Genomic DNA, 12,908 nt, shown 5'->3' on the forward strand with positions numbered 1-12,908 from the left:
AGTCAATAGGGAAATTATAAAAATTCTGCCAAATCTGTGCCCAGGCGCAGTGGCTCACGCCTGTAGTCCCAGCACTTTGGGAAGCCAAGGGTGGGTGGAAGGCTTGAGCCCCGGAGTTTGAGACCAGCCTGGGCAACATGGTGAAACCCCATCTCAAGAAAAAATACAAAAATTAGCCAGGCATGGTGGAGCACACCTATAGTCCCAGCTACTCAGCAGGCTGAGACGGGAGAAGTGGCTTGAGCCCAGGAGGTCGAAGCTGCAATGAGCCATGATCACACCACTGCACTCCAGCCTGGGTGACAGAACAAGACACTGTCTCAGAAACAAAACAACAAACATTCTGCCAAACCCTTACTAAAATCATATTTCCTTGAACTATGAACTGTTAGAGATAATTTGCTCTCAGAACTGACCCCAAATAATATCTACTACATTTATCTGTGCTAATAACCATCCCTTTGATAATCTATTCCAGAAACTTCATGATCTTCAAGCTCACCAACCTTCATTTTGGGGACTCATATAGTCTTTTAAAATATTAGAATTAGATTTCTTTCTAACCATTCCTCCATTCCTAACCTCAATTATTCACAGCAGGTAAAACTTGCCTACAGGACAATGCCTCTCAACTTTTTTCACATCATCACACAAACAGAAAATGATGGACATGGTAGGAAATACTGGGTAAAGAGGCTCAGTGGCCCCAAACCCCATGCTAACTCAACTTCTCCTGCCACCACAGGACTGGGAAGAAACAATAGTTTGGCACACCTGTAAAGCATTTATGTTCTATTATGTCACTTGTTGAGCAAAGCGCTGAGTTAAGAGTTTTTATGAAGGCCAGGCCTGGTGGCTCACGCCTATTGTAATCCCAGCACTTTGGGAGGGTGAGGCAGGTGGATCACCTGAGGTCGGGAGTTTAAGACCAGCCTGATCAACATGGAGAAACCCTGTCTCTACTAAAAATACAAAATTAGCCGGGGTGGTGGCACATGCCTGTAATCCCAGCTACTCAGGAGGCTGAGGCAGGAGAACTGCTTGAACCCAGGAGGCAGAGGTTGCTTGAACCCAGGAGGCGGAGGTTGCGGTGAGCTGAGATGGCGCCATTGCACTCCAGCCTGGGCAACAAGAACGAAACTCCGTCTCAAAAAAAAAAAAAAGAGTTTTTATGAAATGAAAATTAGCATTTTATGAATTTTGCAGAAAGTCAAAAAGCAAAAATCACCCTGAAGTAATGAAAACTCAGCATTGGGAATTGCTAGCTACATGAACAAAACCAAGTGTATTTCTAAGGTCCCTCATTCTACACCTTGTGCAACTAGATCCCATAATCGTTATCTTTTGTTATCAATGACTCACTAAAAACACAAAATTGGGCTGGGTGCGGTGGCTCACGCCTGTAATCCCAGCACTTTGGGAGGCCTAGGCGGGTGGATCACAAGGTCAGGGGTTCGAGACCAGCCTGACCAACATGGTGAAACCCCGTCTCTACTAAAAATACAAAAATTAGCTGGGCATGGTGGCGGGCACCTGTAATCCCAGCTACTCAGGAGGCTGAGGCAGGAGAATTGCTTGAACCTGGGAGACGGAGGTTGCAGTGAGCCGAGATCGCGCCACTGCACTCCAGCCTGGGCGACAGAGTGAGACTCCGTCTCAAAAAAAAAAAAAAAAAAAAAACCACGAAATTGTCCTCCATATTTTCATAGACGTTTCTAAATTTATCTTTTAAAAACTAGCATTTCTGCTCCTCTAGATTTAAATTTCCTTGTTAATTATTAGTCTCCCTCCCACACTATAATCATCATTTGCAATATTCTTTGACAAAAAACACACTTTCTAAATGAACAAGGTATCTGTTCCAAGGGGCTCAAAATCAGAGCTGCCTACCTGCTTCTTATTACTTGTGAGTTCTGGTCCCAGAGAACTTGCCAGAAATACTCATAGTTACAGTTTATCCTGCACATATTATTTCTTTCTTCTGTACCTAAGAATCATTAAGTTTTTATAAGGCATAATCAAAACAGATTGGCATCTGAATTAATCCTATTCATTTTATGAAAAAGTTTCTATGCAAATTATTTTTTCTGACAAAACAATGGAATTTCACTAAATGAGAAAATATACGGAAAACTAGTTAAAGAAACCAATTATAATACTCAAAAAATAGACACAGTGGCATGTGCCTGTAGTTCCAGCTACTCAGAGGCCTAAGTAGGAGGATCACTTGAGCCCAGGAGTTTCAGACTAGCCTGGGCAACATAGTGACCCTATCTCTAAAAAAAATTTTTTTTTGGAATTTTAAAATCTGGAAACAAGAGGAAAACCATTTTTACCGACGTAATTATATATAAATCAGGTCCCATTAACATTAACCATGCAGAAGTTCCAATTATAGGTCACCATTAACAAAAATTTCACCACAATTAGTATGAACTTATACAAAGCTTTTGCTTAATAAAAAGTTTGCTTGTAATCTGATTTAAAATAATTCTTTCTGATTAACAACAATAAAAACAACAAAACTATAAATGAAAAATCATGCTTCCAAGTCAAGGAAATCATGGCCATCTCATTCAAAAACATAGCTTATATGACAGTTTTCTGAACTTGTATATATCCTTAATTTTGAAAGAAAAATCCATTCTAGATACAAATAAGTACTACACAAGATGAATACTTTTAAAATTTCAATCACTTTGAAAATGCTCATCTTTCTTAAAAAATATAAAAGCAAAGTATTCACCAAATCATATTTAAAGCCTATTAATTAAATGTACATAGAAGAGAGATTATTTATGCTAATCTACGTAAAATTGGTGGGATTTAAAATACTGCTAAAAAGAAACTGCAGTGTATAGCTAGTACATCAGCTCATGGTTTTCATGCTAAATCTTTAAAAATGTAAGCTTATTTTCTGAAATCAAAAATTATTTTTTGATTAAGAGATTAATTCAAATTGACAAAAGCTATTAAGGCTTCTGTTATCAATAAAGGAATCTGCTAATAAACATGGGCAACTATTAAATTCATTTAATATTTATTCATTTAGTATTTATTGATTACCTAAGTGTCAGGCATTCTTCTAAGATTTTGGGATATATCAGTGAACAAATAAGAAAAAGAAACTCGGGCTGTATGTGGTGGCTCACACCTGTAATCCCAGCACTTTGGGAGGCGGAGGCGGGCAGATCACGAGGTCAGGAGTTCAAGACCAGCCTGGCCAACATAGTGAAAACCCGTCTCTACTAAAAATACAAAAAAATTAGCCGGACATGGTGGTGGTGCTTGTAATACCAGGTACTCGGGAGGCTGAGGCAGGAGAATCCCTTGAACCCGGGAAGCGGAGGTTGCAGTGAGCCAGGATTGCACCATTGCACTCCAACCTGGGCAATAAGAATGAAACTCCGTCTCAAAAAAAAAAAAAAAAGAAAAGAAAAAGAAACTCTGCTCTCAAGGAGTTTACATTCTAGCACTCTACTTTTTGTTCCCCTTTGGTTCCATATTTTTCATGACAAAAAAATGGAGGGGGAAGCACGGACCTCTCCTTATAAGCACATAAACAGCTAAGATTTTCCTTCACCATTTCCCTGAAGAATCATCACAACTGCCATCCTTTAAGCTCCAGAGTAGTTAGAGTGGTAGTAGTAGAATTCCCTTCCCCATAATTATATTCCAACTAAAAACAGGACTTCAGCTTCCTAATGCCAATGTAAGTGACTCCCACGTCACTGGCATTATGGGTGCTCATAATAATAATAATAATAATAATTTTAGAATTTCAATAATAATAAAGTTCTACCTTCTATTTTAAGCAAAGAAAATGTATTTTTTTTAAAAAAAAGCTAAAAGTTGTTATCAAACCAAAAACAAACTTCAAATCTTCTCAGAGCTCTCATGTCAAGGTGGCAAAAGCTTTTCTTAATTTAGTACCTAATTTTTTGGCAATTGCATAAGCTTCATCTGGTGACTTTGCCACATATCCTTTGGGAACGGAGACACCAGCTTCTTGCAATAATTCCATACTCATGTATTCATGTAGTGAGAGATTCCTTTGCTGTTGCTGCTGTACTTGGAGTCCATGGTTATTAAACAATCCAGAACTTCCCAGAACCTAGAAAGATTGGGGACATATTTATATATGACAGTGATTTGGCAGTCACTCTTGCTAACTACTTGGTTCTTCATAACTATAACAAAACTGTTACATTACATTAGCAAAGTACAATATTCAGAGTACCTGAATTACAGCATAAAACTAAAAGCTAGCCTATCAGCTAAATATCACTGTTACCACTGTCATTTTAATTATTTCCTCATCATCTCTATTCCTTATTTCAGATTTCAGCTTTACTATCATATCTCCAATGATCTACAGGGCAGTTCTACCTCAATGCCAAATTCAGCGGATCTAAAACCAATCTCATCTTTTCCACCAAACCAAAAATCCTTCCCAATTTTCTTCTCTCTACCATTCCTCCACACCTAACAAGTCACCTGGCACTAGATATGTAATAATAAAATGATTTGATACCATTACTCTTTCATACACTCGATATTCAAAACCATGGCTTCATCTGTAGTGGATGTTGCAGTATGCTGCCCAGATCTCCCTGGCACTCCCCATTCAGGACCAAGGCATTCATAGCCCCCACTGCTGCTGCTGGGAGTGCTGGTTGCTGACAGCTCTCAGCCAAGTCCTCTTACTGGAGCCTACTTGCCCAAAGTCACACCTCCTTCCCACTGTCAGCCTGCACCCAATGACTGGTCAATGGAATCACACATTTAAATGTTATCCACGCATTTCCATAATCTCAATACAGAATGCAGTATACTGAAACATGGTTCATATGAAACACACAGTGTCCTAAGAATTAAATTTAAAGAGGTCATAGAAACAATCTGTTTCTTAAAGTAGGTTCATAAGCTTTTGCCTCAAAATTAACTGGGTGCTTGTAATCTGCAGATTCCTGAGACCCATTCTCAACTGCACTATTAGAATCTCTGGACTGGGCCCAAGGAAATCTGCATTCATAACAAGTCACTCAGTTGATTCTTAAGAACCCTACAGTTATGAGAACTACTAGTCTTACAAATCAATCATATATAATAGCAACTTATTTCTGATCCATTTAGCAAGCTAAAATCCTTGGTAACATTTGACCTAGGTAGCTCAATTCCTTGATTTAGTGTCACTTCAATATTAAAAGCCAGCAACCAAGCTGGGCACAGTGGCTTACACCTATAATCCCAGCTACTCCTGAGACTGAGGCAGGAGGATCCCTTCAGCTCAGGAGTTTGAGACTGCAGTGAGCTGTGATTTCACCACTGTCCTCCAGCTTGGTCAACAGAGCAAGACCCTGTCTAAAAAAACAAATAAATAAGTTAAAAAAAAAAAAAAAAAGAAAAAAAAACCCAGCAACCTCTCAAACTACTGTTTAGTATACCTCCACCTTCTGACTCAGAAATCCCATTCCTGGGTATGTATCAATAGAAATTAGTCCTTACATCTGTCAAAAGGCACACATAAAAATGTCTAGAGTGTCCAGAGCAGGCTTATTTATAACAGACAGAAAACAGAAATTAGCTGATTGCCCATCAACAGGAGAATGGATAAACTGTGGTATATGTATATAATAGTATACTACAGAGAAATAAAAAGAAAAAAAGTACTATGGCTCACACATCGATGGATTAATCTCACAAACATAATGTAGAGAGAAAGAAGCCAGAAACAAGAATATATACTTACATGATTTATTTTTATAGCGTTCAAAACCAGTCAAAATTAGCCTATGGTGACAGAAGTCATAATTGGTTGCTACCTTCTGTCAGGGAGTATTGATAAGAGAGAGGACATGAGAGCCTTCTGAGGGCTGGAAACATTGTATATCTTGATGCAGACGATGGTTACACAGGTGAATACATACATAAAAATTAATCTAGCTATCCACTTAAGCTGTACATCTTACTGTACATAAATTATACGTCAAAATAATAATAAAAATTAGTGGGTAGGGGAGTAACTAGCATAAGCCTGGCAAAAAGTCATACACTCAAATATTTTTTGTGATGACTATGAACTAGACAGTGGGCTAGGGACACTAAAAAAATAAAGACACTTGGGTCCCAGCCACAGAGTTCACAGGCATGTAAATAAACAACTGCAACACATATAAGAGCACTAGGTCACTAGCACATAAGTCACTAGGTGGCACCTAATTGGTTAGTTGGTCAGAGAAAATGTCACAAGGTCTCATCCCAGTTTAAATTTTTAAAAAATCTAATGTCTATAAAGAACACTTTGGGGACAACTAGAAAAATCTGAATCTAAACTATATATATTCATGTTACAGCAATGTTGAATTCCTAAGTATGATCACTGCGGTTATTTGGAAGAATGTCCTTATTCTTAAAGACATATGCTGAAATATCTATTTTCAACGAAGGTACACTAGGCTAAAGATACCAAGAAATTGGAGGAGGGTCAGAGAACTTAAACAAATGTTTAAAACAGGCCGGGTGCGGTGGCTCAAGCTTGTAATCCCAGCACTTTAGGAGGCCGAGGCGGGAGGATCACGAGGTCAGGAGATCGAGACCGTCCTGGCTAACACGGTGAAACCCCGTCTTTACTAAAAATACAAAAAATTAGCCGGACGTGGTGGCAGGCGCCTGCAGTCCCAGCTACTAGGGAGGCTGAGGCAGGAGAATGGCATGAACCCGGGAGGCGGAGCTTGCAGTGAGCCAAGATCGCGCCACTGCACTCCAGCCTGGGCGACAGAGCAAGACTCCGTCTCAAGGAAAAAAAAAAAAAAATGTGGAAAACAAATTGCTAAATTAAATGTGTGACCTTGAACGAGTTTCTTAAGACTCCGTACTTCTATGTCCTCATCTACAAAAGCAAAGGGTTGGACTAAGGTCCTTCCAAACTCTAGAGCTGCATTTCTTAATACCAGGGTAGAAGACAGCAACTGTTATAAAGAAAATAATATTGGAAATTTCCATAAGGAGAAATGAAGGCTTTTAAATGAACTTCCAAAAAGATAAAGATTTTGACTAGAATGAAAACGTATTTGTCACTAAATTCCCCATTTTCTAAAAACTAAATAGCACTCTTCTAAGATTCATAAGAAGGAAGTTCAAGGTCAAAAAGTCACTTCTATCGGGAAGCAAACTCACAGAACTCACTACCCCTAGGCTGAAAGTATGAACAACTTCAATAAAAATGAAAAAAAAAAAAAAAGGTAGGGGCGGGAGGGCCCTAAATCAATTCATACTATGACATGTATGAAGAGTTACTTCAGAAAAAAACCCAAAACTCTGGAATTGACTTAGGACACCAATAATGCCCTTCCACAGTTTTTTGTTGTCAAAGTTGGAAGGAAGATGTTTGTTTTCGAAGTTGTGGAGCCAACTCAAGTACACGGCTTTAGAACCAGACACCTCTGGGATTAAATCTCAGCTTTGATCTTACCTCCTATATGACCTAGTCCAAATTACTTGTTCTCTTAACCATAATATGTTCAACAATGATGCAGGTGTTGAATGACTTCCTCACAGTTGCTGAAAAACCTGAGAAACTACACGTAAAGCGCTTAGCACATTACCTGGCACACATCAAATATTCAAAACAAGGCCAGTAACTATTATGCTATAGCCTATCCAGAAATAAGGCTATACAAAAGATTATTTTCTTACCTCTCCAACTGGTTAGGTAGAAAACATAATCTTATTACTGCTATTAACAAGTAGAACAGTATACAACTACTTGGAGGAGAGGGGAAACTTCCCTACCTTGCCCCACAAAAGGCAAGTCAGTAAGCACCGCTGGTCCTCTGACATTCCCACCTATGACAGCTCCCAAGAAACACAAAAGTACTTTTGAAGGGCATTCCCCCCTGCCCAAAAAGGGGCGGCGCAAGTCTCAGCCCACCGTGCCAGACGCCGGAATGGCAGCAGAAAATGTCCTGACCCCCTCACCTCCACTCAGAGCCCACCTGCTCCCGCCCATCTCTTAGAAACTGCAGGAGCAGCCACGGCCGGGCCGCCGGGGATCCTCGCGGACTAAGGGCTGGGTCAGAGCCGCGCAAACATGGGCTCGCTCGTAGTCCTGGCGAGCAGCACTCCCAGGCAAGTCGCCCGAGGGCCTTGCAGGGCACCCAGAAAATGTCACTGCCGGCGAAGTGACCCCGAGCCGGGCCACGGGACCCCTCACACCTCACCCTTTCTCCTGCCGACCCTCGAGACGACAGCGGACTGGAAGGCATTACCTGAGCAGCAGCCCGCTGGGCCGTCCGAGGCCGGTGGTTCCGAAGGGTGGCCACGGCCACTAGCCTGCCGTAGAACATGGAGGCCGCCATTTCTGAGTCGGACCCCGTCCCCTCGGCGCCGCGCGCAGGCGCACAGGCGACAGGCGGCCCAAGGCGCAGCCTCTCTGCAGCGCTCACCTACGCCCCGCCTCGCGCCACCCGTTGGGGGCGGGGCCTCGGGTTAACACTGCAGCCGCTAGACCAGCTCCCTGGCGGGCGCGGAGCAAGCTTTGACCTTTGGAACTGGGCACCGCAGCCCCAATATCTGCCCTGCGGTCAGAGCAACCTGAACACTTCCTAGTGAATTGCAATGTAAAGGTGACCAGCGCCGCCACTTGGGTGATCTTAACTTCTCTCAGCCTCAGTTGCCTCATCTGTAAAATGTGTTTCATTCAAGAAATGATTACCCAGTGTCTACTTCGTGCTAAACAGCCTTGAGCCCTTGGCCTACAGCAATGAATAAAACCATTTGTGATGCTCAAAGAGAAGATGGTCGGTGTAACGCGCTTGTGATGCTCAAAGAGAAGATGGTCGGTGTCATGCGCTTCTGATGCTCAAAGAGATCGGTGTCACGCGCATCCGTGTGAAGACACCGCCAAACAGGGTGTGAGCAATAAGGCTGTTTATTTTAACTGGGTGCAGGCGGGCTGAGTCCGAAAAGAGAGTCAGCAAAGGGAGATAGGGGTGGGGCTGTTTTATAGGATTTGGATGGGTAGCGGAAAATTACAAAGGGGGTTTTTCTCTTACGGGCAGGGGCGGGGGTCACAAGGTGCTCAGTGGGGGAGGTTCTGAGCCAGGAGAAGGAATTTCACAAGGTTAATCACTCAGTTAAGGTGGGGCAGGAACAAATCACAATGGTGGAATGTCATCAGTTAAGGCAGGAACCGGCCAATTTCCCTTCTTTTGTGATTCTTCACTTGCTTCAGGCCATCTGGATGTACACGTGCAGGCTTGGGCTCAGAGGCCTGACAGTCGGCCACTAGTTACCAAAGCTGGTGGCAGGCTGGAGTCTCCAGGGAAGCTATTGATTGATTGATTGACTGATTGACAGGGTCTTGGTCTGTCACCCAGGCTGGAGTGCAGTGACGCGATCACAGCTCACTGCAGCCTCAACCTCCCATGCTCAAGGGATCCTCCCACCTCAGCCTCTGGAGTAGTTTGGGACCACAGATGTGTGTCACCAGGCTTGGTTGATTTTTTTATTTTATTTTTTTAGGGACAGAATCTCTCTATGTTGCCCAGGCTGGTCTCCAACTCGTGGGTTCAAGCGATCCTCCTGCCTCAGTCTCCCAAAGTGCTGGGATGACAGGTGTGGGCAACCACACCCAGCCAAGGATCTGGTTTTTGAAAAGATAAATAAATTTAACAAACCTCCAGCAAGACTGCAAAGAAAAAAGAAAAAGAGAAGACACAAATTACCAATGTGAGGAACATACCAGGGAATATAATTACAGAACCTTCAGACACCAAAAAGGAATGCCATAAATAACACCACATAACATAAATTTGACAACTTTGACAAGATGAGCGAATTCTTCAGAAGGCACAAATTACTACAAATAACCTAATATGAAAAGGTAATTTAAATAGTCCTCTAACTAGAGAAAATTGTAATTGTAATTTTTAAACTAAAAAAAAAAAAAACCTGAGATCTCCAGGCCCAAAAGCTTTCACTGATGAATTCTATAAAATGTTTACACAAGAATTAACACCAATTCCATACAGCCTCTTCCAGAAGATAGAAGAGGAAGGAACAGTTGCCAATGTACTGTATGAAGTTAGAATCACCCCACTACCAAAGCCAGCAAAAGACCGTACAAAAAGAAAAAAATACCAACACTTCTCATGAATATTGATGGAAAAATCCATAGCAAAATATTAGCAAATATAATTCAGAAATATATAAAAAGAATTGTACAATATGACCAAGTGGGATATATTCCAGAGATGTAAGTTTGTTTTAATATTTGAAAATATGTGTAATGCACTATATTAAGTTAGAAAAATCACATGATAATTTCGATCAAAACAAAAAAAGTAGCTGGGCACAATGGTTCATGCCTGTAATCCAAACACTTTGGGAGGCCGAGGTGGGAGGATTGCTTGAACCCAGGAGTTTGAGACCAAACTGGTTGGGCCACATAGCAAGACTTCATTTCTATAAATAATTTTAAAATTAGCCAGTCATGGTGGTGTACACCTGTGGTCCCAGCTACTCCAGAGACTGAGATGGGGGGGAAATCACTTGAGCCCAGGAGGTCCAGGCTGCAGTGAACCGTGATCGTGCCCCTGCACTCCAGCCTGAGTGACATAATGAGACCCCCATTACAAAAAAAAAAAAAAAACAGGCCAGGCATGGTAGCTCACGCCTGTAATCCCAGCACTTTGCGAGGCCGAGGCAGACAGATCATCTGAGGTCAGAAGTTTGAGACTAGCCTGACCAACACAGAGAAACCCCGTCTCTACTAAAAATACACAATTAGCTGGGTGTGGTGGCATGTGCCTGTAATTCCAGCTATTCAGGAGGCTGAGGCAGGAGAATCATTTGAACCAGGGAGGCAGAGGTTGCAGTGAGCCGAGATCGTGCCATTGCACTCCAGCCTGGGCAACAGGAGTGAAACTCCATCTCAAAAAAAAAAAAAACAAAAAAAGCATCTTACAAATTCCAACATTCATTCATGATTAAAAACTCAGATAAACAGGAATAGAGGGGAACTTCCTCATCTTGATAAACCGGATTACAAAAAACTTACGGCTAATATACTTAATGGTGAGAGAAGACTGAATGCTCTTCTCATAAGACTGGGAGCAAGGCAAGGGTGTTCGCTCTCACCACTTTTATTCAATATAGTGCTGGGAGTTCTTGTCAGTGCAATAGACAAGAAAAGCAATTACAAACATATGGAGTGAAAAGAAAGAAAGAAAACTCTCACTATTTACAGATAACATAATTGTTGCTATAGTTTGGATATCTGACCATCCAAACCTCATGGTGAAATCTGATTCTCCAATGTTAGAGGTGGGGCCTGGTGGAAGGTGTTTGGATCACGGAGGCCGATCCCTCATGAAGGGCTTGGTGCTGTCCTCTGGGTAATGAGAAGTTCTCATTGTATTGGCTCCTGTGAGAGTTCTCCCAAGAACTCATTGTTAAAAACAGCCTAGCACCTTCCCTCTTTCTCTCTCTCACTTCTGCTCTCTTCCAGTGTGATCTCTGCACATGCCAGCTCCCATTCACCCTCTGCCATTTGGGGAAGTTTCCTGAGTCCCTCACCAGAAGCAGATGCTGGCTCTAGGCTTTTTGTTTAGCCTGCAGAACCATGAGCCAAATAAACCTTTTTTCTTTATGAATTACCAACCCTCAGGTAATTTATACACAATTTTCACACGCGTCCATGTGAAGAGACCACCAAACTCACTTTGTGTGAGCAATAAAGCTTTTTAATCACCTGGGTGCAGGCGGGCTGAGTCGGAAAAGAGAGTCAGCAAAGGGAAATAGGGGTGGGGCCGTTTTATAGGATTTGGGTAGGTAAAGCAAAATTACAGTCAAAGGGTGTTGTTCTCTGGCAGGCTGGGGTGGGGGTCACAAGGTGCTCAGTGGGGGAGGTTCTGAGCCAGGAGAAGGAATTTCACAAGGTTAATCGCTCAGTTAAGGTGGGGCAGGAACAAATCACAATGGTGGAATGTCATCAGTTAAGGCAGGAACAGGCCATTTTCACTTCTTTTGTGAATCTTCAGTTACTTCAGGCCATCTGGATGAATACGTGCAGACTTGGGCTCAGAGGCCTGACAAGAATAAGATGATTGTCTGTGTATAAAATCCCAAACATTTTACCAAAAAAAAAAAAAAAAAACTCTTTGAATTGATAAGTGAGCCCTGCAAGATCTCAGGAAACAAGAAAAATATACAAAAATCAATTGTATTTCTAGGTACAAGCAATGAACACATGGACCCAAATCGAAAATACAATACCACCTAAAATTCCTTTTAAAAATGAAATGCATGTAAATCTAATAAAACATGAACAGGACTTACCTGCTGAAAACTACACAATACTGATGACATAAATCAAAGAAGATAAATAAGTGAAGAGATATTACCATGTTAATGGATTGGAAGACCTAACACAGTAAAGATGTCAATTCTTCCCCAAATTGATATATACATTTAATGTATTTCTATTAAAATTCAAGCAAAACTTTTTATACATACAGACGTAGTATTATAAACTTTATGTGAAAAGACAAACTAGAATAGCTGAAACAATTTTGAAAAGAACAAAGTGGGAAGAAACAGTCTGAGTTCAACATTTACTATAATAGCTACAATAATCAAGACTGTGTGGTATTGCTGGAGAGAGAGACACATAGATTGATGAAACTTAATAAGAAACCTAAAAATAGGCTCACACAAATATGCCCAACTGATTTTTGACAAAGGTGCAAAAGTAATTCAACGGAGGAAATATGGTCTTTTAAACAAATGGTGCTGGAGGAATTGGACATCCATAAGCAAGCAAACAATCAAAAAGAGCCCTGACCAAAATCTCACATATTATACAAAACTTAACTCAAAATTACCTTAACTGTAAAACACAAAAC

General features: G+C 41.4%; 1 protein-coding gene and 1 long non-coding RNA gene across 2 annotated transcripts in view, besides 7 other annotated features; one reads left to right on the top strand and one right to left on the bottom strand.

The window, feature by feature from the left end:
• Positions 1-8,364, bottom strand: part of SUCLA2 (succinate-CoA ligase ADP-forming subunit beta) — a 58,618-nt gene extending 50,254 nt beyond the window's left edge. Inside the window, exons 1-2 of the mRNA NM_003850.3 lie at positions 8,271-8,364; positions 3,934-4,114 (exon numbers count right to left, since the gene is read on the bottom strand). Coding sequence (NP_003841.1) covers positions 3,934-4,114; positions 8,271-8,360 — 271 coding nt within the window. The 5' untranslated portion in view covers positions 8,361-8,364. The remainder of the gene's footprint in view (positions 1-3,933; positions 4,115-8,270) is intronic.
• Positions 7,999-8,048: an enhancer, noted in NCBI's record as "active region_7717". NCBI's record gives its function as "activates an Ori minimal core promoter by ATAC-STARR-seq in GM12878 lymphoblastoid cells {active_cell/tissue: GM12878}" and the evidence as "EXISTENCE:reporter gene assay evidence [ECO:0000049][PMID:35858748]".
• Positions 8,069-8,118: an enhancer, noted in NCBI's record as "active region_7718". NCBI's record gives its function as "activates an Ori minimal core promoter by ATAC-STARR-seq in GM12878 lymphoblastoid cells {active_cell/tissue: GM12878}" and the evidence as "EXISTENCE:reporter gene assay evidence [ECO:0000049][PMID:35858748]".
• Positions 8,139-8,328: an enhancer, noted in NCBI's record as "active region_7719". NCBI's record gives its function as "activates an Ori minimal core promoter by ATAC-STARR-seq in GM12878 lymphoblastoid cells {active_cell/tissue: GM12878}" and the evidence as "EXISTENCE:reporter gene assay evidence [ECO:0000049][PMID:35858748]".
• Positions 8,449-8,558: a silencer, noted in NCBI's record as "silent region_5330". NCBI's record gives its function as "represses an Ori minimal core promoter by ATAC-STARR-seq in GM12878 lymphoblastoid cells {active_cell/tissue: GM12878}" and the evidence as "EXISTENCE:reporter gene assay evidence [ECO:0000049][PMID:35858748]".
• SUCLA2-AS1 (SUCLA2 antisense RNA 1) lies at positions 8,496-9,782 on the top strand. Its single transcript, NR_189308.1, has 2 exons — positions 8,496-8,913; positions 9,526-9,782. It is a non-coding gene; the product is annotated as an SUCLA2 antisense RNA 1 (long non-coding RNA).
• Positions 8,705-9,904: an enhancer, noted in NCBI's record as "CDK7 strongly-dependent group 2 enhancer chr13:48575750-48576949 (GRCh37/hg19 assembly coordinates)". NCBI's record gives its function as "activates an origin of replication core promoter dependent on BRD2, BRD4, P300/CBP, MED14 and CDK7 cofactors, with strong dependence on CDK7, by STARR-seq in HCT116 cells {active_cell/tissue: HCT116}" and the evidence as "EXISTENCE:reporter gene assay evidence [ECO:0000049][PMID:35650434]".
• Positions 10,576-11,173: an enhancer, noted in NCBI's record as "H3K27ac-H3K4me1 hESC enhancer chr13:48577621-48578218 (GRCh37/hg19 assembly coordinates)". NCBI's record gives its function as "activates a minimal SCP1, AML or CMV promoter by ChIP-STARR-seq in naive H9 embryonic stem cells {active_cell/tissue: H9 hESC(naive)}" and the evidence as "EXISTENCE:reporter gene assay evidence [ECO:0000049][PMID:30033119]".
• Positions 11,772-12,369: an enhancer, noted in NCBI's record as "NANOG-H3K27ac-H3K4me1 hESC enhancer chr13:48578817-48579414 (GRCh37/hg19 assembly coordinates)". NCBI's record gives its function as "activates a minimal SCP1, AML or CMV promoter by ChIP-STARR-seq in naive and primed H9 embryonic stem cells {active_cell/tissue: H9 hESC(naive and primed)}" and the evidence as "EXISTENCE:reporter gene assay evidence [ECO:0000049][PMID:30033119]".

The sequence above is a fragment of the Homo sapiens genome, chromosome 13 (genome assembly GCF_000001405.40).
Source record: "Homo sapiens chromosome 13, GRCh38.p14 Primary Assembly".
Taxonomy (NCBI): domain Eukaryota; kingdom Metazoa; phylum Chordata; class Mammalia; order Primates; family Hominidae; genus Homo; species Homo sapiens.